At 38.6% G+C, this 26,197-nt stretch overlaps 1 protein-coding gene across 8 annotated transcripts in view, besides 1 other annotated feature; it reads left to right on the top strand.

The window, feature by feature from the left end:
* SCFD2 (sec1 family domain containing 2) overlaps positions 1–26,197 on the top strand; it is a 493,080-nt gene that overhangs the window by 27,281 nt on the left and 439,602 nt on the right. For all 8 annotated transcript variants that reach the window (NM_152540.4, XM_017007787.3, XM_047449646.1 and 5 more), the window contains exon 3: positions 25,018–25,145. In NM_152540.4, the coding sequence (NP_689753.2) occupies positions 25,018–25,145 (128 nt within the window). The remainder of the gene's footprint in view (positions 1–25,017; positions 25,146–26,197) is intronic.
* Positions 9,113–9,690: an enhancer, noted in NCBI's record as "NANOG-H3K27ac-H3K4me1 hESC enhancer chr4:54195258-54195835 (GRCh37/hg19 assembly coordinates)". NCBI's record gives its function as "activates a minimal SCP1, AML or CMV promoter by ChIP-STARR-seq in naive H9 embryonic stem cells {active_cell/tissue: H9 hESC(naive)}" and the evidence as "EXISTENCE:reporter gene assay evidence [ECO:0000049][PMID:30033119]".

Here is a 26,197-nt window from a genome sequence, read left to right as displayed (position 1 = left end):
GTGAAACCCCGTCTCTACTAAAAATACAAAAAATTAGCCGGGCGTAGTGGCGGGTGCCTGTGGTCCCAGCTACTCGGGAGGCTGAGGCAGGAGAATGGCGTGAACCCGGGAGGCGGAGCTTGCAGTGAGCCGAGATCCCGCCACTGCACTCCAGCCTGGGCGACAGAGCGAGACTCCATCTCACAAAAAAAAAAAAAAAAAAAAAGAAAAATATACTGCTTTCTTTTGGCCTCCATCTTTTTTATGAGAAACCTGCTGTCATTTAAATTGTTTCTCTTTTATAGTTAAGGTATCATTTCTGTCTTAGTGCTTTCAGAATTTTTCCTTGGCCTTTAGTTTTCAGAAGCTGAACTGTAATGTGTGTTGGTGTATATTTCCTTGGGTTTATTCTGTTTGGGGTTTATTTAGTGTATTGCATCTGTAGGTTTATGACTTGCAAATGTGAGAAGTTTTCAGCTATTATTTCTTCCAGTACTTTTTAAGTATCCTTCTCTTTCTTGTCTTCTTCTGGGATGCCAGTGATGGGCATATGAGTTTCTCATTGCTGCTATGCCAAATTACCATAAACTTTTAGTGGCTTAAAACAATACAAATGTATTATTATTTTAGTGTTCTGGATGTCAGAAGTCTGAAATCAGTCATACAGCCCTAAAATCAAAGTATCAGCAAGGCTGGTTCATTCTGGACTCCAGAATCTATTATTTGCCTCTTCTAGATTCTTGGGGCTGACTTGGCATTCCTTTGCTTATAGCCACATCATTTCAATCTGAACTTCTGTTTTCACATTGCCTTTTCCTCCAATTCTGTATCCTCTTGTATCCCTCCTATAAGGACTGTTGTAATTACATTGGACCTATCTGGATAATCTGAAAGGCAGATTATTAAATAGTCTGTTTATGCATTTTTTTTACTGAAGCAAAATTTATAATGTTTATAAAATTGAGAAATGCACAAATTGAATCATATAGTGTATACTCTTGTGTCAGGATTCTTTCACTAGGCATAAAGGTTTTGAAATTTTTCCACATTGCTTTTATCTGTAATGCTACATAGTAGTATTTTGTTGCATGAATCTACCTCAATTTACCTTACCATTTTCCTGTTGATGGAAACCTAGGCTGTGTCCAGTTTTTTACTGGTATGAACATTCTTAAACAAGTGTTTTGGGGGTGCTATATTGTGACTTCTCTTTCCTTTCCATATAATTTATGGGTTGTTCTTTCATTTAAGTAGAAATGGGTTGATACATGTCATTTTACTTCCACCAGCAATACATATGAGTTCTGGTTGATCCTCATTCTTGCCAACATTTGATAATTTCCATTGTTATGGACTGAATATCCTCCTCCCAAGTTCATATGTTGAAGATTTAATGCCCTGTACCTCAGAGTGTGACTGTATTTTGAGATAAGCCCATTAAAGAGGTAATTAAAGAGGTAATTAAGAGGTAAAATAAGGCTGTTATGGTAGGCCCTAATCCAATTCTGACTGGTGTCTTTACAAGAAGATTAACTTTGGTCACACACAGAGACACCATACACATGCATGCACAGAGGATGACCATGTGAACACACAAGAAGTGGGCCATCTGCAAGCCAAAGAAAGGGGCCTTGGGAGAAACCAGACTTGCTAAAACTTTGATCTTGGACTTCTAGTTTCCAGAACTGTGAGAAAATAAATTTCTGTTGTTTAAGCCACCCTGTTTGTGGTAATTTTTTATGGCAACTGGAGTAGACTAATACACCCATCATTTAAATTTTAGTCCTTCTTTTGAGTGTGAAGTGGTATCTCATTGTGGTTTGAATTTGCATTTCCCTCATGGCTAATGATACTGAGCACATTTTCTCTCTTTTTTTCTTTTCCTCCAAATACACAGGCTTCAAGGATACTGAGCACACTTTCATGTGCTTATTGTATGGAGAAACCAAAGCCCTGATTTATTTCTGCTTTTAGAAATGAGAAAACTGGCTGGGTGCAGTGGTTCATGCCTGTAATTCCAGAACTTTGGGAGGCCAAGACAGGAGGATCAGTTGAGGCCAGGAGTTCGAGACCAGCCTGGGCAACATACCAAGACTCCGTCTCTAAAAAAGAAAGAAGTTAACTGGATGTAGTGCTGGTAGTCTAGCTACTCAGAAGGTTAAGGTGGGAGGATTGTTTGAGCCCAGGAGTTCGAGGCTACGGTGAGCCATGATTGCACCACTGTATTCCAGTCTGGGCAACAGAGCAAAACTCCAACTCAAATAAATAAATAAATAAATAATAAAGGAAGAAAGAAAAAAAGGAAAAAAGAAATGAGAAAACTGGGGTTTATAGAGGTTAGTTTACGTTGTTGAAGGTGATAGAGCTAGCAAAATTGATTTTGAGCTCAGCTTCTGATTACAGAATTTATCTTTTTTTCTTTTACTCTAAAAGCAGTCTTTATATTTGTACTTTATAGAAAGCCATCATTCGATAAATAGAATAATATCACTTTCTTTTTCTATCAGGATTGTCTTTACCTTTTGTTTCTGTTTTTGTTTTCTGTGGGATGACTTTTCCAATATTAGAGCTCAGTTTTGGTAATTGTTTTATGAACCATATTAATTGTAAAAGGAGAAAAATGAGTTTTAGAATATAGCCAAGACCTGTATTATCCAACACTAGTCCATGACTATATTACCCTATTTCTATGAGGAGTACAATGTAAGAGTCTCTAAGGGCTTTATACAATCTAGAATTTGGCTTTACTCTTATTTAGAATTTTCTTTGTTTCAGGGATCCCCGTGCTTTAAATATATTAGGTTCCCTAAGGAAGAAATCTCAGTTCCTCAGAGCTTATGTTTTATATAAAGAGATTACTCAGAGCATTTTTAATTTAAATTGTTTTAACAATACCCCGCATAATTTTTACCCTAGGAGAAGGGTTGTGAGCATTTAGATGCTTGGTATGGCTGCATTTCCTCTTTACATTTACTTAGAGTAGTATTTCCAAATTTAGTTGGAGAGCACCTCATTCACATACTCAACTTTTATATTTTAGCTGCTTGGTATTTTTTTTGAATTGATTGATTCCTTTATAAAAAATTTATTAATAATTCTAAACATACAAAAAAGTTTCAGAAATAGTGTAAGAAACTTTCCCCTCACCTGAAACATTTGAGAGTAATTTGCTAACATGATGCCCATCACTCCCAAATATTTTAGTATTTATTTCTCTCAAAGGGATATTTTCCAACATAGTCATAATAAAAAATTAACAGATACATTACTACCCTCATTAGAGTATAGATATATATTGTAGATTAGACAAGTTCCACCATTTGTCTCAATAATATCCTTTGTAAAAGCGAAAGGATGTCAGTCAGAAGCACACGCTGCATTCACTTGTCATTCCCTCTTAGTCTTCAGTCTTCCCATAACATTGATGATCTCAAAAGTTTTGAAGAATACAGACCAGTAATTTTGGAGAATGTTCTTCAGTTTATGTTTGTTTAATGTTTCCTCACAATTAGATTCAGGTTATGTATTTCTGGCAGGAATATCACAGAAGTGATGCTGGGGTTGTTGTTGTTGTTTTTTTTTTTGTTGTTTTTTTTTTTTTTTTTTTGAGACGGAGTCTCATTCTGTCGCCAGGCTGGTATGCAGTGGCATGATCTCAGCTCACGGCAACCTTTGCCTCCTGGGTTTCAGCAATTCTTGAGCCTCAGTCATTGAGTAACTGGGATTACAGGCATCTGCCACCATGCCTGACTGATTTTTGTATTTTTAGTAGAGATGGGGTTTTGCTATGTTGGCTAGGCCGGTCTTGAACTCCTGGCCTCAAGTGATCCACCTGCCTTGGCCTCCCAAAGTGCTGGGATTGCAGGTGTGAGCCATCGCGCCCTGCCTGTTTATTGCATCCCATCAGGTGGAACATAATTTAAATTCGTCCACTTATAGTGATGTTAGCTTTGATCACTTGAATAAAGAAGGCATTTTGAGATTATGTAAATAGTCTCTTCCATGTCAAATTTTAATCCACTGCTTTAGCATCTATTAATTTTTTTCTTTTTTATACTTTAAGTTTTAGGGTACATGTGCACATTGTGCAGGTTAGTTACATATGTATACATGTGCCATGCTGGTGCGCTGCACCCACTAACTCGTCATCTAGCATTAGGTATATCTCCCAATGCTATCCCTCCCCCTTCCCCCCACCCCACCACAGTCCCCAGAGTGTGATATTCCCCTTCCTGTGTCCATGTGATCTCATTGTTCAATTCCCACCTATGAGTGAGAATATGCGGTGTTTGGTTTTTTGTTCTTGCGATAGTTTACTGAGAATGATGATTTCCAATTTCATCCATGTCCCTACAAAGGACATGAACTCATCATTTTTTATGGCTACATAGTATTCCATGGTGTATATGTGCCACATTTTCTTAATCCAGTCTGTCATTGTTGGACATTTGGGTTGGTTCCAAGTCTTTGCTATTGTGAATAATGCCACAATAAACATACGTGTGCTTGTGTCTTTATAGCAGCAAGATTTATAGTCCTTTGGGTATATACCCAGTAATGGGATGGCTGGGTCAAATGGTATTTCTAGTTCTAGATCCCTGAGGAATCGCCACACTGACTTCCACAATGGTTGAACTAGTTTACAGTCCCACCAACAGTGTAAAAGTGTTCCTATTTCTCCACATCCTCTCCAGCACGTGTTGTTTCCTGATTTTTTAATGATTGCCATTCTAACTGTTGTGAGATGGTATCTCATTGTGGTTTTGATTTGCATTTCTCTGATGGCCAGTGATAATGAGCATTTTTTCATGTGTTTTTTGGCTGCATAAATGTCTTCTTTTGAGAAGTGTCTGCTCATGTCCTTCACCCACTTTTTGATGGGGTTGTTTGTTTTTTTCTTGTAAATTTGTTTGAGTTCATTGTAGATTCTGGATATTAGCCCTTTGTCAGATGAGTAGGTTGTGAAAATTTTCTCCCATTTTGTAGGTTGCCTGTTCACTCTGATGGTAGTTTCTTTTGCTGTGCAGAAGCTCTTTAGTTTAATTAGATCCCATTTGTCAATTTTGGCTTTTGTTGCCATTGCTGTTGGTGTTTTAGACATGAAGTCCTTGCCCATGCCTATGTCCTGAATGGTATTGCCTAGGTTTTCTTCTAGGGTTTTTATGGTTTTAGGTCTAACGTTTAAGTCTTTAATCCATCTTGAATTAATTTTTGTATAAGGTATAAGGAAGGGATCCAGTTTCAGCTTTCTACATATGGCTAGCCAGTTTTCCCAGCACCATTTATTTAATAGGGAATCCTTTCCCCATTGCTTGTTTTTCTCAGGTTTGTCAAAGATCAGATAGTTGTAGATATGCGGCATTATTTCTGAGGGCTCTGTTCTGTTCCATTGATCTATATCTCTGTTTTGGTACCAGTACCATGCTGTTTTGGTTACTGTAGCCTTGTAGTATAGTTTGAAGTCAGGTAGCGTGATGCCTCCAGCTTTGTTCTTTTGGCTTAGGATTGCCTTGGCGATGGCGGGCTCTTTTTTGGTTCCATATGAACTTTAAAGTAGTTTTTTCCAATTCTGTGAAGAAAGTCATTGGTAGCTTGATGGGGATGGCATTGAATCTGTAAATTACCTTGGGCAGTATGGCCATTTTCATGATATTGATTCTTCCTACCCATGAGCATGGAATGTTCTTCCATTTGTTTGTATCCTCTTTTATTTCCTTGAGCAGTGGTTTGTAGTTCTCCTTGAAGAGGTCCTTCACATCCCTTGTAAGTTGGATTCCTAGGTATTTTATTCTCTTTGAAGCATTTGTGAATGGGAGTTCACTCATGATTTGGCTCTCTGTTTGTCTGTTATTGGTGTATAAGAATGCTTGTGATTTTTGTACATTGATTTTGTATCCCGAGACTTTGCTGAAGTTGCTTATCAGCTTAAGGAGATTTTGGGCTGAGACAATGGGGTTTTCTAGATATACAATCATGTCGTCTGCAAACAGGGACAATTTGACTTCCTCTTTTCCTAATTGAATACCGTTTATTTCCTTCTCCTGCCTAATTGCCCTGGCCAGAACTTCCAACACTATGTTGAATAGGAGTGGTGAGAGAGGGCATCCCTGTCTTGTGCCAGTTTTCAAAAGGAATGCTTCCAGTTTTTGCCCATTCAGTATGATATTGGCTGTGGGTTTGTCATAGATAGCTCTTACTATTTTGAGATACATCCCATCAGTACCTAATTTATTGAGAGTTTTTAGCATTAAGGGTTGTTGAATTTTGTCAAAGGCATTTTCTGCATCTATTGAGATAATCATGTGGTTTTTTTCTTTGGTTCTGTTTATATGCTGGATTACATTTATTGATTTGCGTATATTGAACCAGCCTTGCATCCCAGGGATGAAGCCCACTTGATCATGGTGGATAAGCTTTTTGATGTGCTGCTGGATTCGTTTTGCCAGTATTTTATTGAGGATTTTTGCATCAATGTTCATCAAGGCTATTGGTCTAAAATTCTCTTTTTTGGTTGTGTCTCTGCCCGGCTTTGGTATCAGAATGATGCTGGCCTCATAAAATGAGTTAGGGAGGATTCCCTCTTTTTCTATTGATTGGAATAGTTTCAGAAGGAATGGTACCAGTTCCTCCTTGTACCTCTGATAGAATTCGGCTGTGAATCCGTCTGGTCCTGGACTCTTTTTGGTTGGTAAACTATTGATTATTGCCACAATTTCAGCTCCGGTTATTGGTCTATTCAGAGATTCAACTTTTTCCTGGTTTAGTCTTGGGAGAGTGTATGTGGCAAGGAATTTATCCATTTCTTCTAGATTTTCTAGTTTATTTGTGTAGAGGTGTTTGTAGTATTCTCTGATGGTAGTTTGTATTTCTGTGGGATTGGTGGTGATATCCCCTTTATCATTTTTTATTGCCTCTATTTGATTCTTCTCTCTTTTTTTCTTTATTAGTCTTGCTAGCGGTCTATCAATTTTGTTGATCTTTTCAAAAAACCAGCTCCTGGATTCATTAATTTTTTGAAGGGTTTTTTGTGTCTCTATTTCCTTCAGTTCTGCTCTGATTTTAGTTATTTCTTGCCTTCTGCTAGCTTTGGAATGTGTTTGCTCTTGCTTCTCTAGTTCTTTTAATTGTGATGTTAGGGTGTCAATTTTAGATCTTTCCTTCTTTCTCCTGTGGGCATTTAGTGCTATAAATTTCCCTCTACACACTGCTTTGAATGTGTCCCAGAGATTCTGGTATGTTGTGTCTTTGTTCTCGCTGGTTTCAAAGAACATCTTTATTGCTGCCTTCATTTCGTTATGTATCCAGTAGTCATTCAGGAGCAGGTTATTCAGTTTCCATGTAGTTGAGCGGTTTTGAGTGAAATTCTTAATCCTGAGTTCTAGTTTGATTGCACTGTGGTCTGAGAGATAGTTCATTATAATTTCTGTTCTTTTACATTTGCTGAGGAGAGCTTTACTTCCAAGTATGTGGTCAATTTTGGAATAGGTGTGGTGTGGTGCTGAAAAAAATGTATATTCTGTTGATTTGGGGTGGAGAGTTCTGTAGATGTCTATTAGGTCCGCTTGGTGCAGAGCTGAGTTCAATTCCTGGGTATCCTTGTTGACTTTCTGTCTCGTTGATCTGTCTAATGTTGACAGTGGGGTGTTACAGTCTCCCATTATTAATGTGTGGGAGTCTAAGTCTCTTTGTAGGTCACTCAGGACTTGCTTTATGAATCTCGGTGCTCCTGTATTGGGTGCATATATATTTAGGATAGTTAGCTCTTCTTGTTGAATTGATCCCTTTACCATTATGTAATGGCCTTCTTTGTCTCTTTTGATCTTTGTTGGTTTAAAGTCTGTTTTATCAGAGACTAAGATTGCAACCCCTGCCTTTTTTTGTTTTCCATTTGCTTGGTAGATCTTCCTCCATCCTTTTATTTTGAGCCTGTGTGTGTCTCTGCACGTGAGATGGGTTTCCTGAATACAGCACACTGATGGGTCTTGACTCTTTATCCAATTTGCCAGTCTGTGTCTTTTAATTGGAGCATTTAGTCCATTTACATTTACGGTTAATATTGTTATGTGTGAATTTGATCCTGTCATTATGATGTTAGCTGGTGATTTTGCTCGTTAGTTGATGCAGTTTCTTCCTAGTCTCGATGGTCTTTACATTTTGGCATGATTTTGCAGCGGCTGGTACTGGTTGTTCCTTTCCATGTTTAGCGCTTCCTTCAGGAGCTCTTGTAAAGCAGGCCTGGTGGTGACAAAATCTCTCAGCATTTGCTTGTCTGTAAAGTATTTTATTTGTCCTTCACTTCTGAAGCTTAGTTTGGCTGGATGTGAAATTCTGGGTTGAAAATTCTTTTCTTTAAGAATGTTGAATATTGCCCCCCACTCTCTTCTGGCTTGTAGGGTTTCTGCTGAGAGATACGCTGTTAGTCTGATGGGCTTCCCTTTGAGGGTAACCCGACCTTTCTCTCTGGCTGCCCTGAACATTTTTTCCTTCATTTCAACTTTGGTGAATCTGACAATTATGTGTCTTGGAGTTGCTCTTCTTGAGGAGTATCTTTGTGGCGTTCTCTGTATTTCCTGAATCTGAACGTTGGCTTGCCTTGCGAGATTGGGGAAGTTCTCCTGGATAATATCCTGCAGCGTGTTTTCCAACTTGGTTCCATTCTCCCCATCACTTTCAGGTACAGCAATCAGACGTAGATTTGGTCTTTTCACATAGTCCCATATTTCTTGGAGGCTTTGTTTGTTTCTTTTTATTCTTTTTTCTCTAAACTTCCCTTCTCGCTTCATTTCATTCATTTCATCTTCCATCGCTGATACCCTTTCTTCCAGTTGATCGCATCAGCTCCTGAGGCTTCTGCATTCTTCATGTAGTTCTCGAGCCTTGGTTTTCAGCTGCATCAGCTCCTTTAAGCACTTCTCTGTATTGGTTATTCTAGTTATACATTCTTCTAAATTTTTTTCAAAGTTTTCAACTTCTTTGCCTTTGGTTTGAGTGTCCTCCCGTAGCTCAGAGTAATTTGATCGTCTGAAGCCTTCTTCTCTCAGCTCGTCAAAGTCATTCTCCATCCAGCTTTGTTCCGTTGCTGGTGAGGAACTGCGTTCCTTTGGAGGAGGAGAGGTGCTCTGCGTTTTAGAGTTTCTACTTTTTCTGTTCTGTTTTTTTCCAATCTTTGTGGTTTTATCTACTTTTGGTCTTTGATGATGGTGATGTACAGATGGGTTTTTGGTGTGGATGTCCTTTCTGTTTGTTAGTTTTCCTTCTAACAGACAGGACCCTCAGCTGCAGGTCTGTTGGAATACCCTGCCGTGTGAGGTGTCAGTGTGCCCCTGCTGGGGGGTGCCTCCCAGTTAGGCTGCTCGGGGGTCAGGGGTCAGGGACCCACTTGAGGAGGCAGTCTGCCCGTTCTGAGATCTCCAGCTGCGTGCTGGGAGAACCACTGCTCTCTTCAAAGCTGTCAGACAGGGACATTTAAGTCTGCAGAGGTTACTGCTGTCTTTTTGTTTGTCTGTGCCCTGCCCCCAGAGGTGAAGCCTACAGAGGCAGGCAGGCCTCCTTGAGCTGTGGTGGGCTCCACCCAGTTCGAGCTTCCAGGCTGCTTTGTTTACCTAAGCAGCCCTGGGCAATGGCGGGCGCCTCTTCCCCAGCCTCGCTGCCACCTTGCAGTTTGATCTCAGACTGCTGTGCTAGCAATCAGTGAGACTCTGTGGGCGTAGGACCCTCTGAGCCAGGTGAGGGATATAATCTCGTGGTGTGCCGTTTTTTAACCCGGTCCGAAAAGCACAATATTCGGGTGGGAGTGACCCGATTTTCCAGGTGTGTCCGTCACCCCTTTCTTTGACTCGGAAAGGGAACTCCCTGACCCCTTGCGCTTCCCAAGTGAGGCAATGCCTCGCCCTGCTTCGGCTCGCGCATGGTGCGCGCACCCACTGACCTGCGCCCACTGTCTGGCACTCCCTAGTGAGATGAACCTGGTACCTCAGATGGAAATGCAGAAATCACCTGTCTTCTGCGTCACTCACGCTGGGAGCTGTAGACCGGAGCTGTTCCTATTCGGCCATCTTGGCTCCTCCCCCAATATTTCTTGACTGAATTATTTCTGTGATGGCTGATAATAGTGATTTTTCCAATTCTATCATTTTCTTTACATTTCTTAATTGATATTTTCTGGTAAGATAAAGCTGTCTGTTCTCCGCATGTATGTATGTTTGTATATATGTATTTTTTATGTGTATATTAGCATAAACTAATAGATTCGTATTTTATTCAATGGGTTATAACTCATTTTTTATTATTTGCTTTGATGTTAATATTGTCCCATATTTGGTCAATGAGATCCCCTGACTTCTGTGTCTTTTTGATATATAACCATCGTTCTTTGAGCATTTTAATACTTTCTGGTATATTTCAAATTCATCTTGTACCTATCCTAGCTAGTCCTGGAATCAGTCATTTCTCTAAGAGCACTGATTCTTTTTGGTGGAGAATTGTATTTAGAAACCAAGATCTGGGCTCAGTGTGCTTGCTGCTTTTGGAGTGTCACTGTTCCCAGGGCCTCACAGTGGACACAGCTAAGGAATTTGTATACATACACACACACTCACACACACACACACATACATGTGCACATGTATTTACATTGATCATTCTTTGTTTTTTTTTTGTTTTTTTTTGAGACAGAGTCTCGCTCTGTCACCCAGGCTGGGTTGCAGTGGCACTATCTCGGCTCACTGCAACCTCTGCCTCCTGGGTTCAAGCAATTCTCCTGCCTCAGCCTCCCGAGTAGCTGGGACTACAGGCACATGCCACCATGCCTGGCTGTTTCTTTTTTTTGTATTTTTAGTAGAGACAGGGTTTCACTGTGTTAGCCAGGATTGTCTCGATCTCCTGACCTCATGATCCACCCACGTTGGCCTCCCAAAGTGAGGCCACTGCACCCGGCCGATCTTTATTTCTATGCTAATCTCTGTATATTGAGAACTATGAGTTCCCAGCAATACTTCCAATTCTAAGCCAGCATCACAAGGATTGATTTTAAGTTTTTTCCCTTTGCATATTTGTAACTACTTCTTGAACAGTTGAGTAACCTGACCCTCTTATCCCTCAGTAGATTTACTTACTTTGCTCAGTCTCCTGTATTTAACCAATATAGTGTCAACATTGCTGCCTTTTCCTCCTCCTCTATGTGGATGCTGCCTCCATCACTCCTGGTCTCCAACATAAACGCATCCTGCCCCATGCTCTGCATGGAGACTCCATACCATTTAGGCTCTGATATTTTGGTTTGGCCTGCTTCTGCACTGGAGTCCTCTTCACCCTTCTCAGTCTGCTCACCTGCTCTGGGCTGCCACTGCCACAGTGCATCATACTCTTGGTGTGGGTATCCTTCTCACTCCACTTGGCCTTTGACATCCTGAGCCAGGCTGCAGCTGCCCACCCCTACACAGACACCCTTCTCATTCCATTTTGGCTCTGCCACCCTGGGTCAGACTGCTGCCACCCTCCATCCCATGTGGATGTCCCCTCAATCTGGTTGCAATCTGATGCTCCCACCCACCCTCTTGGGCCCTTTGTGCAGACATCTTCCTCTTCCTGCTTGGATCCCAACACCTTGTATTCGGCTACCAACCCTCCCCAAGACGATACCCGCTCACCCCTCTCAGGCTCCGACACTCTGTGCTAACATGTTTCCAGCCTGCTCATTACATGAACTCTGCTGCTGTATCAAGACAACTCCCTTCTAGGCACCAACTAATGACTTTTGGATTAAATTATGAAGTTTTTTGTTGTTGTTTTTTTTTTTCTTATTTGGACTTTATTATAAAGACAGATTTTGCTTGGTTGTTGTTAAACTTAAGTGATCAGTACCTACTTATAGCCTCATTCTAAAATAATGTCTGTATACTTGAATAGTCATGGATTTAATTTGTTAGTTAAATTTTTTGTGATTTACATTAAAATAAATACAGATTAATGACAACTAAAGATATTCACCTGTGGACCTATGAAAATCAACTTGCTAACCACATCTTTAGGACACCGTGGTTTAGATTATTCATTTAATGGCAGTCTTGGTTGGTTTGTGTTTTCATTCTTTTGATCTTGGTACTTGACAAAACTGATAGCAAGACTGCATATCTTCTAGGAATGAGAAGATATTTTTTTCTTTTTGTCTTGTATATGGTTTTAAATAGGAGCGGTGATGGTGACTCTCCTTGCCTTATTTCTGATTTTAAGAGGAATATCTCTAACGTTCCCCCATTTATAATGATGTTCACAGTAGACTTTTTGTAGATTTTTTTTTTATCAGGTTAAGGAAGCTCTCATCCTAATTTACTAAGATTTTGAAAAATGTTTTAATCATGGGCTGGGCACAGTGGCTCATGCCTGTGATCCCAACACTTTGAGAGGCTGAGGCAGGTGGATCACTTGAGCCCAGGAGTTCGAGACCAGGCTAGGCAACACGGTGAAACACTGTCACTACAAAAAATACAAAAATTAGCTAGGTGTGGGGGCATGCGCCTGTTGTCCCAGGTATTCAGAAGGCTGAGGTGGGAGGATTGCTTGAGCCTAGGAGGTGGAGGCTGCAGTGAATTGTGATCACGCCACTGCACTCTGGCCTGGGTGACAGAGCGAGACCCTGTCTCAAATAAAATAAAATAAAATAAAATAAATAAAATTTTAAATAATGAATTGGTGTTGAAATCTATGAAATGTTTTTCCTGAATCTATTTAAAAGATAGTATGTTTTCTTGTCATCTGCTAATGTGGCAAGTTGTAATTATAGACAGTCTAAGACTGAATCATTCTAGCATATTTTGCATAAACTCAGCTGCTTTGTCATGGTTTGCCATTTTTTCTTATACTTTTCCATGTCTTGGTGTTTTCTTCTTTAGTTCCTTCAGGTTTGATTTTGGGGGAGAGTTAGTAGTTATGTCCCTTTAGTATCCTAAAAAAAACTGGACAAAGTGGCTTAAACAAGAAGCTACCTGTTAAATATTGTTTGAACTGAAGGGTTAATGTTGCTTATGCTTTCTGAACCTTAGCCCCTTTATCTGAAAATTTGGTTATAATAATGCCTACCATATATGCTTGTAAGACTCAAAGGAGATAAAAATAAGTCAAAAGTCTTGTATAGTGACTTCCCTTTGGGATTTAAGATTTACCTACTTATTTTTATTTTTTGTAGAAAGCTGCTATCAGTAAATCAATCTCACAAAACACATTCCAACGATGCCTTTTAGTTCATTTACTTATTCAGACCATTTGCATTGATAAAATGTGGTATCTAGAACCTTCTTTGTTTATTGCAGGTCTAGATTGTACTTGAAGCTCAGTCCTGTGTCTTTTCTTCTATTTTTTACTCCTTCATCTTTCTTCTTTTTTATTTCCTGGCTAATTCTTTGTGATTTGATTGAATGGTGCAATCATTATTTTTGTTAATCATTTATGTTTTGGTGGGTCATGGCTCTCAAGTGCATTTTACCTTCAAGAATGGGAGAGCTTCTAGGAATGTGTTATTAGAATTATTGTCCTCTGTGCCCCCTAGAAAGGCAGTGAGTCTTCTCTTTTTTTTTTTTTTTACTGTCACAAATATGTAAGCGTGCGCGCACGCGCACACACACACACATCTGTAGTAATTTTCTAGGTTATATTACGTTCTTAAGGAGAGTGAATATCAGAAACAAAAGTAAGAGGGAAGTTAGAGTTTTTATGGTGAGAAAAGGAGTATTGCAAGGTGGGTTAGGGTTGGAGATAGAGGGCCTGATTGTTGGTTGGGGATCATATGTATCTTCTCTTGGTGAGGCAAGCCTCAAGAACCTTACCCATGTGTCACAATTTGATTTTATCTACTTTCCTAGGCCTTATTTGACTAAGACATAGTTAATTAGTATCAATATTTGTATTAACAATATTTTCTTGTTTTCTGTTTCTTTGATGCTCTGGCACCTGGAGTCTAGAAATAGCAAACAACTAGTCAGGGAATGAGCCTCTCATATGCAAACTTATCAGTCAGAACTCACCCCTCTTCCCTCTGCTGGGCTCTTATGCTCCCAGCCAATATTCCCCTGCCCTCATCACCCCAGCGCCATGTACCGGACAACCAGAGCCCACAGAAATGATTTAAACCAGCACATCCTAAGCCCCCTCAGCCTGCTTACCCTGCCTTGGCCATTCCTTCCCACAAAATCCACAATAAGGGCATGAGCCTGTGTTTTTCCCTTGTTCCCTCTGCCTCTTGACCAACGCTGGTGCTTCCCCATGTGGCCCTGCCTGGCATGTCATGCCTCCTGTTTCAAGGGATCTGTGAGTATAAGAACTTCTTCCTTTTTGACAGTCATTTCTGTCCCTATGTATCCTGGATACTTTTTTTTTTTTTTTTTTTTGGAGAGACAGGGTCTCACTCTGTCACCCAGGCTGAAGTGAACTGGTATGATCATAGCTCATTGTAGCCTCAAATTCCTGGACTCAAGCGATCCTCTTGTTTCAGCCTTTTAAGTAGCTAGGACTACATGTGTGTGCTACCATGCCCAGCTAATTTTTAAATTTTTTTGTAGAGATGGGGTCTTGCTAGGTTGCCCAGGCTGGTCTTGAACTTCTGGCCTCAAGCGATCCTCCTGCCTTGGCCTCCCAAAGTGCTAGGATTATAGGTGTGAGCCATTGTGCCTGGCTCCTGGGTACATTTTTAAATAGTATCGAAGACATTTATTAGGGGATGGTGTGCTTCTAGTCCACAAGGTTTCAACCTTGTGCAAGTTGTTCAATGCCTTCCTAACTTTGCTATTCCTTGTGGGAAATATTCAAGACCTGTGTGCTTGTTATCCCTTTATTTGGGGTTTTTAATAGGAATTCCTGTCTCCTTTATTAATAGGGTAATTGTGGCTGCAAAAATTTAGAAGGAAGCCTGAAGATTCCTCTTTACTCTGTTCCTTAGGCCTGGAGCCTTTCAAAGTGGTTTCCCAGGTTTTTGGATATCATGGAACACAGAAATTAAGCAACACCATAGAGCTCTCTACTTTTGTCACACAATACACACACATACACACACACAGAATTATTTATCTTACTATATTGAAAATGCTTTAAATAGAATATTTTTTACAGGTTGACTATAATGAAAAAGGAAAGGCTAGGCACATTGGCTTATGCCTGTTATCCCAGTATTTCGGGAGGCTGAGGTAGGAGGATGGCTTGAGCCTAGTTAGAGACCAGCCTGGGCAACATAGTGAAAATTCATCTCCGCAAAAAGTAAAAAAAAAAAAAAAAAAAAAAAAAATTAGCTGGGCATGGTGGCATGCACCTGTAGTCCTGGCTACTCAGGTGGGAGGGTCACTTGGTCCAGGAAGTCTAGGTTGTAGTGAGCTGTGATTATGCTACTATACTCCAACCTGGGCTACACAGGGAGACCCTGTCCCAAAAAAACAACAACAAAAAAGAACTACTGTATATTCTTCTCTCCTCAGAGTTGTAACACTTCAACACTGTTCTGTAGTTCTAGAGTATCAAAGGAGATAGTACAAAACATCTTAACAAAATCTGTGGGAGTTAAGATAGTTAATAATAGGGGCAATGCAAATTCCTATTTCAGCTGAACCAAAACTCAAGCTGGTTTTTAATCAATTGGTTTTTACCAATGAAGAGAAAATAAGCTATAATAATTTTCAACACATCAAGTTTTTCCAAGGCTTTGAAGCTTCATACAAATGTGCATATAGACACAATGGTGTCACCTACCAAAGTGATAGATACTGGAGTCACTGTATAATCATTGCATATAAGATTATGCTGATTGAAATGAACCTTCTTCATGGAGGTGAGTGACAGAAGGGTGAAGCAGGCAGATACATTTGCTTCTAAGAGCTTCTATAAAACTGTCACTAACTCTTTGTCCTAGAGTTCCTTGACACATGAATTAATCCTTAACTTTCCATGGCTTGAATTTGAGCCAAAACACACAGATGTAATCAATCCAGCCTAGAGTTCCCCAGTGGAGCAAGTGCTGATCTGTGTACTGGATCATGTACTAATGTATAGGAACTCAAAGTATATCCTTTAGAGTCAGAAAAATGTGGCAGAGAAGGGATATGTGTTTGGTTTTTAAGTAATCTAATTGTGTTATTGATTTAAAATCCTCATACTGAGTTAATCCATTTATGCATTAGAAATCTATATGAAAAACAGTCTTTCTTATGCTTTACTGTTTTCTAAGAGGAAATTATTAATACGTTTGTGTTGATTATAGTGTTAATCATTAATGGGCTGATAGAGAGTAGGAATAAAAAATGTTTATACTGAGATGAAACTCAAATACTCTCTATTTTATGTGATGGTTAAACAGTTAATACGTTGTTATCTAGTCCGTTTTTTAAGGGTGGATTATTTGTGCCTCTCCTTTGTAGACCATATAGGGTAACTTTCTGATGTTGCCATGCCATTTGTAAACTGTCATGGTGCTGGTGGGAGTGTCTTTTAGCATGCTAATGCATTATAATTCGTGTATAATGAGCAGTGAGGACAACCAGAGGTCACTTTCATTGCCATCTTGGTTTTGGTGGGTTTTGGTCGGCTTCTTTACTGCAAGCTAAAACAGCTTGCAGTAAGGTCTTCATGATCTGTACCTTGTGCTAACCTCCTATCTCATCCTGTGACTTAGAATCCCAAGCCATTTGGGAATGCAGTCCAGCAGGTCTTAGCCTTATTTTACCCAGTCCTTATTCAAGATGGAGTTGCTCTGGTTCAAACGCCTCTGACAAGCCCAGGTTAGGTGTTGCACTTTCCCAAAGTTCTCAATCTCTGTTTTTATCACCCTGCTGGAGTGTGCTCAGTTTCACCTTCCCTGCTAGATGGCTAGCTCCATGCAGGCAGGGTGTGGGAGGATGCTCACAGCCATGTTTCCAGCATCCATGCCCAGCTCACAGAAAGTGCTTATATTTTGAAAGAAAGAATGAACAAAGGGCTGCTTTCCAGTACCAAGGGACTCTGTCACATATCTTGCACTTAGCTGCTTTTGCTTCTATTGAGATGAAGATTAATTGGTACATTTGTTAAAGATGTAATTGTTTTAAAAGGTAGTCAAGAGGAAAGATGACTATTGAAGCCTCTGTGAATAATTTAATTAGAAAACCTACCTTCAGAGCTCATTAAGCTCACCCCTCATGGAAGCCATTATTCCCTGCTGTGAAAAACTATGACTCAGCTTGCCTTCTGTTTAAAATTAGTTGAAATTGTTTGGGTTTTTTGTTGTCATTGGATTTCTGTTGGAATACTGTGACTATTATTGCATATCCTGTGATTAAGCTTAACTTCCTGTGCATGCCACGAAGAAACTAAGTTTAGTCACAAGATAATGGTACGCGTTCACATTTCACCCTCATCTCTTAATTGCATGCCTTCTACTTGATTGAAGTATCACCATGATTCAACATTCAGCCACCTTTTAAAAATTTTGCTGTCTTCTTTCTATTTTATTTGGTGATGAATATTTCCTGTTAGTTTCTAGCAGACTGCATTTGACATTTCATACATGCCAACCCAAGGCAGCTTCTAAGATTTCATTCAGAGTTGAGTAATTCTGGTGAATAAAGAGCCAGGAATGAACTGAAATGACCATATTTTCATGTACAGAAGTTTCTTGAAAGACCTTAAAGAGCTATTTGTAGCAGGTTATTATTATGTGTATGTCATTGGTCTTCTTCAAACATGACAATTTGTAAAAACAGTTTGATTTTTAAGAATTCAGAATAATTTATCAAAAAATGACAATTAGTATGTATTGGCATTTTAAATAGTTACTGACAATATAGAAACTACTTATATTTCATAGAATAAATATTCTACTTTCATGTTGTATATTTCAAGGAATCTATTTTAACAAATTAAATTGTATTCTGGTAGCTACAATGAATTCAGTTTATGTCTTTTGAAACCATGATATTAAAAACAGAAAAAAGGGAAGAAATTGTTTAATTTATATTCCACAAGCTGTTGGTAATTTTTTTGTTGTTGTTAATTCTTTTTATTGCTGTCACTGGACTTGTGAAAAAGAAAAAGAGGTTTAATAAAAGAAATAGCAGCATGGGATATTCACTTATCTTTTGCTGACCTTTGGAAAGTTAATCAAATTTGTGCATGTGAAGTTTGAGGACCATGGCATAATGGAAACCTTATTTTTATTTTTTATTGATTTTTTGAGACAGGGTTTTACTCTTCTCTCCCAGGCTGGAGTGCAGTGGTGCAATCTCAACTCACTGCAACTTCCACCTCCCAGGTTTAAGTGATTTTCCTACCTCAGCCTCCTGAGTAGCTGGGATTGCCGGCGTGCACCACCATGCCCAGCTAATTTTTGTATTTTTAGTAGAGATGGGGTTTCACCATATTGACCAGGCTGGTCTCCAACTCCTGACTTCAGGTGATCCGCCTGCCTTGGCCTCCCAAAGTGCTGGGATTACAGGCGTGAGCCACCACACCCTGCCTGGAAACCTTATAAATATAGCTTGTTGGGGACCCAAGGAATCTCAGAAATTGGCATTTTAGTTCAAGCCTTTTATTTTACAGAACAGTGTAGAATTATGGTAAACAGATGGATTTTGGAGTTCACAGCAACCTGAGTTCAAACCCTAATTTACTGGGCATGTAATTTGGGTAAACTGTTTTATCTCATTTAGAATCAGTTTTTTCACTTATGAAATGGGGTCCAATGATACTTATCCTGAAAGGTTGTTGTTATTAAATGAGATAATATAGTCATGCTGCCTATGACATAGTTTTCAATAAGTGAAAATTATAACATTAGTAATAACTGTAAGGGGATATAAAGCACCAAAAAGACTAACCAAGTTACAGAAGCAGCCCATTGGCACTTCCAGTGGTGGACCTGAGCTGTAATCCTCCTTTTTAATTTTTGTAATATAATGAGATGTTAGGCAACTCGTTTCATTTTGTCTCAATTTTATCAGTGTTAAAAATAAGTAGAGACGGGTGGGCCTAGTGGCTCATGCCTGTAATCCCAGCACTTTGGGAGGCCAAGTTGGGTGGATCACCTGAGGTCAGGAGTTTGAGACCAGCCTGGCCAACATGGTGAAACCCCGTCTCTACTAAAAATACAAAAATTAACCAGACGAGATGGCGCATGCCTGTAATCCCAGCTATCCAGGAGGCTGAGGCAGGAGAATCACTGGAACCCGAAGGTGGAGGCTGCAGTGAGCTGAGATCATGCCACTGCACTTGAGCCTGGGTGACAGAGCGAGACTCCTTCTAAAAAAAAAAAAGAAAAAAAGTAGAGGCTATTTCCCCTTCTTTCTTTCCCAAGGACATGTTGTACATAGAGTTAGAGCTAGATTGGAAATAATACCTGTAAGGCAATTTAGACTAGGTTTTTGCTTTTTCAGTTATATGAATGATATATATGTAGAATGATTAAAAATTCATCAAAGTCTTCTTGGAGGGAAACATTTAAGGAAAAAGGCTGAATAAAAGTGGAAAATTAGCATTGTGTAGCCAAGTGACTGTCAATGGCTAATTTTGACCCACAAGGGGAATAGTATGATATTGCTTAAAACAAAAGTGTGCAGAGTTCTTAGAGCTTTACCTGCTTCCGGAATTAATGTGGATCTACTTTACTCTTCACTCCATTCCATCCTGTCCTTTGTGGGACCCATGTGTGAACTTAAAGGATATTATGGATTTGAAAAGAAAACCAACATGAAAAGTGAAAAACAATTGACGTTCTGCATAATTGATTCTCTTTGATGATTTGCATAATATAAGCATGGCATGGTATAGTATTAAGATTACTGGGTTTAGAAGCCATTTGCCTCAGTTGTGATTTTGCCTTTTAAAGATTGAGGTTACTTAAATCAGTCAGTTGCCTCTCTGAGGCTCTTTAAATTGGATTTAAGGAGCTTCAGATAATAGTTTAGCTCAGGAGATGAGGATCAAATGAGATATAAGAAGTTTTGTAAATTCTGAAATGCTTTTGAAATAGAATGGAGTGATGGTATTTGAAACTATATTTAACATTGTATTTTATTCACCTTTCAAAAATTTTCCTTAATTTGGCCATCAGGGGAAAAAAAAAAACAACTCTTTTAGGGTGGGCCTGATTATCAAAAAGATGTTGACCAGCTGTTCCTGAACTTAAGATAAAAGATTAAGCTAGATGAATGAGATTTATAGTAGAGCACAAAGGGTTTAGGTTTAAATAGAGTCCAATCAGAGTTTTGATTTGTTTGAAGCTGTAGTGTTTTTCTCAGGAATATTATAAATTTTTCTTTAGGTGCTTTTAAAAACTAAAAATAGATTTTTCATCTGTCTGTATTGGGTTAGGTAGAGTCCTGCTGAAGATATAAAGATGATTAATATCTTTATATTAGCAAACCTCTAATGTTTGCTTCTGACCCAAGAGTTGTACAACCATTTAATAAGTCAGTCTGGAAATAGAATATAGAATCTGAACTCCTTGTAAAAGTAATAACTGTAGTTTTAAAAGGTCCTGCAGAATTTTACAATAATTAAATTGAAGAGATAAGCTGAAACAAAAGTCATTGCTTAAAAGTCTTTGTAAGAAAAACACTAACTTTCTATAGCTGTCTGTTTTGAAGTAAGCTATAGTAAAGTTCTCAATTTTATTCCTGAAAAATAAAAATTATTTACATCAACTTGTCATATATAAGGAGATTGCTTGCATTGGAGTTTTCAGTGTGTATGAATTCTACATTATCTATTGTTGACCTTTTCATATTAGAAAATGAAGTCGCTGACAGTGATTGTACATATATGTACACAAGTAGTGGGGGAAGACCACTGCAGTTCTACAAAAGGCTTCCTTCTATATCTTACAAGAAAATTCTGCCCTTTGATTTTTCTTTTATTACTACTGCTGCTGCTACTACTACTGCTGTAGCACTTGTGTGTCAGGATTTGTTCTAGGTGCTTTAGATGTATTAGCCCATTTGATTCTTATAACAGCTTACTGAATATGTACTATTACCATCCCCATTTAGGAGAGGAGAAAACATGTACAGAGAGAAGAAGCCCTCCTAGGGACATAGAGCTAGTAGGTGGCAAAATGGCACCTTGTGTTGTTTGGTCCAGAACCTATGCCCCTGCCACTCTGCAGTCTTGCCTAGTAATAATCTACCACACTGGCCGTTGCATATAGTCCTCTCTGTATTGCTTATTTCCCCAGTAGGAAAACAGAAAGTTTTGCACAGTTGGAGATGATAAAGATTTACGTATAATCCGCTATTGCAATTATAGTATGGATTTCAATTAACTTTTCTTGACATAAAGTTTAATATCAGGAGTTGATTTCATGTGAAAATTCAATTGTATGAAATACTGCCTATTGGATCAACTTTTATGAGCATATTAGAGAAAGGCAGTGACTTAACTACCATGCTCAACTCAGATGCTGATATAGGTGTATGTGTGTGAATTACCACATTGCAGTAATAGAGTGACTTGGTGAAGAAGTGGGTGCAGGAGACAAAAAAAATACCAGTAAGTATGACTTTGACCTTCTTCAGTGCCAATTATTCAGAGAACCTTAATTAACTTGTAAATGTTCCCTTGATAAACTTAAAATGACCATGTGTAATGTGAAGTTAGTATGACGTGTTTAGAAAACTGTTTAGGACAGGAAGCAGGCATTAGGAACTCTCACACATATCTAGACATTCAGAATTTTTTTTTTTTTTTTTGACATGGAGTCTCGTTCTGTTGCCTAGGCTGGAGTGCAGTGGTATGATCTTGGCTCACTGCAACCTCTACCTCCCGGGTTCAAACGATTCTCCTGCCTCAACCTCCTGAGTAGCTGGGATTATAGGCGCACACCACCACTCCCGGTTAATTTCTGAATTTTATTAGGGGCGGGGTTTCTCCATGTTGGTCAGGCTGGTTTCAAACTCCTGACCTTGTGATCTGCCTGCCTTGGCCTCCCAAAATGCTGGAATTACAGGTGTGAGCCACTGCGCCCGGCCCAGAATTGTTTATATCAGCAAAACAATTTTTAAGAAAACATGACCTGAGTATGTATCACTGTTAGAGATCATGGAAACTTTGTATTTCTTCTAAAATATTTTAATAGACAAGAGCCAGATAGTACAAGCTTCAAGTGACTTTAGTACATCTGCACTAATCAAGATTGTATGAATAAGCATACTCAGTGTAATTAAGTAAGTGAATTCATCCAATATATCACAAACTCCTGAACATAGTGAATTAAAGACCATGAATATAAGACAATACCACTTATAACAACAGTAATACTAGTAACAACTACAACCACCACCACACAACTTACATTTATTGTGAATCAGGAAAGTGCTTTAAATGAATTATATTATTTAATCCTACAACAATCCTGTGAATTCACTATTATAACTTCCAACTCCACAGATACCAAAAAGAGAGCATTAATTATGTGCACAGTTACACAATTAACAAGTATCATTTATTCAGTATTTACTGAGTGTACCCACCAGAGATCTGCACTGTTCTAGGTAGTGAAGAATTAGCAATGAGTAAAACAAAGTCCCTGCCTTCATAGAAGGACCCCACCTTTTATGAGAGAGACAGACAACAAATAAACATGGAAACATAATAAGTCAGCTGGTAATTAGAATTATGTAGAACAGTAAAGCCCAGTAAGTAGACAACAGAGTGCTAGCATAAGATGCTGTGATAGGCAATGTCACTTTTTTAAGCAGGGCAGTAAGGGGAGACCTCTCTGATAAGGTGATGTTTTAGCAGATACCTGGAGGGAGAGAGAGATTTGTAGAAAGAGTGTTCCTCTGCTTGGAATACGGGAGAAGAATGGTCTAGGAGGCCATGTATTTGGAGTGGGTGAGGAGGAGCATGGTTGGAGTTCGAACCCAGATTTATCTGACTGCGGAGTCCATAAACCACTACACCAATCTGATGGGGCAACCACAACGTTACCTAACTTACTGTGATTTTAGAGATGAATTAGCCAGATACATATTCTCATGGAAAAGAGGAGGGTAGTGACATTCTACTCTGAAAGTTCTGGGTTGCGTTGAGACTTATGTGAGAAATCCCTGTGTTTTGTGGAGAGATATTGTTGAGACTAGAGAACAATTATGAAGCATAAGTTTGGGAAACTGGGATTGTAACTCCCATGCTCAGAATTCTTCCATGGTTCTTCAATTGCCTGCAGAGCTTTAGAGAAATTAAGTAACTTTCTGAAAGCCTCATAGCAAACAGACCTCCTTTTGAATTATGATAAAGACTGTATTCATAACTGCTGAGCTATGCTGTTCTTCTCAAAGTGTGAAATCAATCACATGCTCCTTGGCTTCCTGTCACCTACATATCAAAGTTGACATGACTTGGCAAGGAATGCAGAACCCCCAGAGTGTGGCTGCACCTTCTTTTATGCTCTCCTTCCACTGCCCCTCCCCGTGCACCTTGGCATGCAACAGAACAGTGCTCCTCAGGGTCATGTTCCTAGGATTTTTTGCATTCTGAAATGTCCTTCTTTCTCTTGTTTTGTAACCAAGATTTTATATCTTTCTTGAAGGCTTTTTTTTTTTTTTTTTGCCATTTTCCTTCCCAGATTGAGTTTTAACTTCTTCCCAGGCTGCTTTTAGAGCTTATGTATCTTTGTACTTGCTCATCATTTCCAGTAGAAATCATTCCTTCAGTCCCTATCCTCCCAGCTAGGATTATGCTTGCATAAACACCTATGCAAGCATTGACCATGGCTTTTATTACCACACTTTTTTAGTAATTTATTTGCTTTTGTATCTGCCTTGTCTTCTAAACTATGCCATTCAAAGCTTTTTAAAAATCTGTATCCCAACCAAATACAGGGCTTGGCATGTAGTTTACCTGCTTACTTAAATTAAACTTAAGAATATTAGATGCAGAGTTATAATGATGACAGATTTGATCAGATTAAAACAAGTGGAGTATGTTGAGCAGTAATATTAGTTCATTATGGAAAGATACATGATAATAAAAACTATTCAATGAAAGATTATAATGTGTCAGGCATTAAACTCAGTGTAAAAATACATCATTCTATTATTCAATATCCAATTCAAATTTGGAAGATATGTCTTATTAGGTATAACTTTAAAACTAAATTAAAATCTTAATAGATGTAACTTTAAAACTAAATTAAAAATGTATTTATTTTTGAACTATTACTAAGTGGATAGTAGGAGAGTGAGTAGGGCTTTAATTGGAGGAAAAAGTCTTTAGAAAGGGACAGAAGTCATCCTTGTTTCTTTGTATTCAGTTTTTAAAACGTTACTACAAATGTGTATACTTGGCTACATGGCAGAGATCTTCCGGAAAGAACACTGCCCTCATTTATAATTTGGACATAGCATGTTGGGTGAGACAGAGGGCTATTGGAGAAGTGAGCCCAGATGAGACCTTGCATATAATGCAGTGCTTCGTGCTGTTATCAACGGTTAATTGTAAAGGTTTTAGTAAGTACCATCCTTCCAACCTAAGGCCCAAAGTGGGATACTTCAGGCCATGGCTACTTAGCATAATTCCTGATTTTCATTTAGTAGGAAGCCTACTAATTAGGAAGTCTGTTGAGTAATTTTTGAATGAAATGCTCATTGCTGATTGCTTTGTTTCTTGGACAAGTATTTAATCTCGAATTGATATAGTGCTTATAATCACTGATAAATCATTTTGAGACTTGCATTTAATTTTGGCTTATATAACATTTATATTACTCTAGTGATGTTGAGTTGAATTCTGAAAGATTTAAGTGCAAAATCTTTGAAAAAATTTATCACATAGTTTTCCCACACTTCTCATCACACAGTACAGCTTTTCTTCCCTTTTTTTCACTTGATTTTATTGTTTCCTTAATTTCTCAATATTTTCTGCCAATTATGTGAATTAGACATTCTTTATTTAATCCTAATACTTAGAGTCTATCAGTAGGAAAGACTACATTAATGCTCAAAAATATATTTTAAAAAGTATTTTGCTTTCAACCCTTTCCAGTATCCAGTAGAAATTTATTCTAAAGCTCTTTTTGTGATTTTCCTGCAGTGACACCACAGCCAAAGCCCTATGGGAAGCTTTACTGAACACTAAGCACAAAGAGGCAGTGATGGAAGTTCGGAGACATCTAGTGGAAGCGGCAAGCAGAGAAAACCTGCCAATCAAGATGAGTATGGGTAAGCCTAAACCTAGGACACAGGCAGCCTCTGAGGAAGCTTATTTAAACCTGTTCTGAATTGTGGGCCAAGCTAGCCAACATGGAATCTAGGCCAAAGTAGTAACGACTTTTGTATACTGTTGAAAGAATAGGGAAGGAATATGTGCACGCTGCCCTTGGGCTCAGCAATGACCACTTTTCTTAGACTCAGCTTTGGGAACTCTCTAGGAGAGTTTTTGCTTACAAAGAATAATTATTTTAGTTTCTTATTGATCTATTTTAGAACTGTCAAAATTGGTCTGGACTACCTCTCCTTAATTCTATTCCAACCCTACTCCCTTTTTTCCCCCATTCTTCCCCTATTACCCCACTTATGGTGGGTAAAAGTTCTCTTATTACTTTCGAATTAGTGACTGAAATGGTACTGAGAAAAGAATTGAGCAGTCAGACATGGTCTGGCCTAGTCCCTCACCCTTAGAGTCCTAATTGTCAAGTCACATCAGCGTTATTTCTTCTTCACCAGGAATTACATACCTAATTTTTCTATTTCTTGTTTTTTTTCACATCCATCTTTGTCTTTGGTATTAGATGAATATGATTGCAATGGAATTTAAGTTTTAAATGGCTTTTTTTCTTTTGATCAAAAAGTCAGAGAACCACAGAAGTAATGCGTTGATTTTAGAAAAAAAATTTGGCTTTTAATTTTTTTGTTTTAAAAAATATTAAATAATTTTATTGATACAGAAATATTTAAATATGGATATTGAATCTGGTTAATAGGTAGAATTTGTTTCTGGAAGTTTGCAAAATTTTATTTTTCTCTTTTAAAAATAAGGTTTCTCTCTTATAATCTGTTCTTAGGTATTCAGTAAATATTAGTACATTTTATTGGATGGGAAAATTTTTCTTTGCTGAGATTCATAGGCCAAGTTCTTGATTACACATGGGGGCAAAAATCAAACTAAGTTGAAATAGAACAAAATTTGAAAGTAGCAGAATATGGATGAATCTAGGAAGAAAAATGTTACAGGGTTATAACATGAAAAGAATATGACTTTTAGTGTATTAGGT

This window comes from Homo sapiens, chromosome 4 (genome assembly GCF_000001405.40).
Source record: "Homo sapiens chromosome 4, GRCh38.p14 Primary Assembly".
In the NCBI taxonomy this organism is placed as follows: Eukaryota; Metazoa; Chordata; class Mammalia; order Primates; family Hominidae; genus Homo; species Homo sapiens.
Note: the sequence above shows the minus strand (reverse complement) of the source record. Positions and strands in the feature narration are given on the sequence as shown.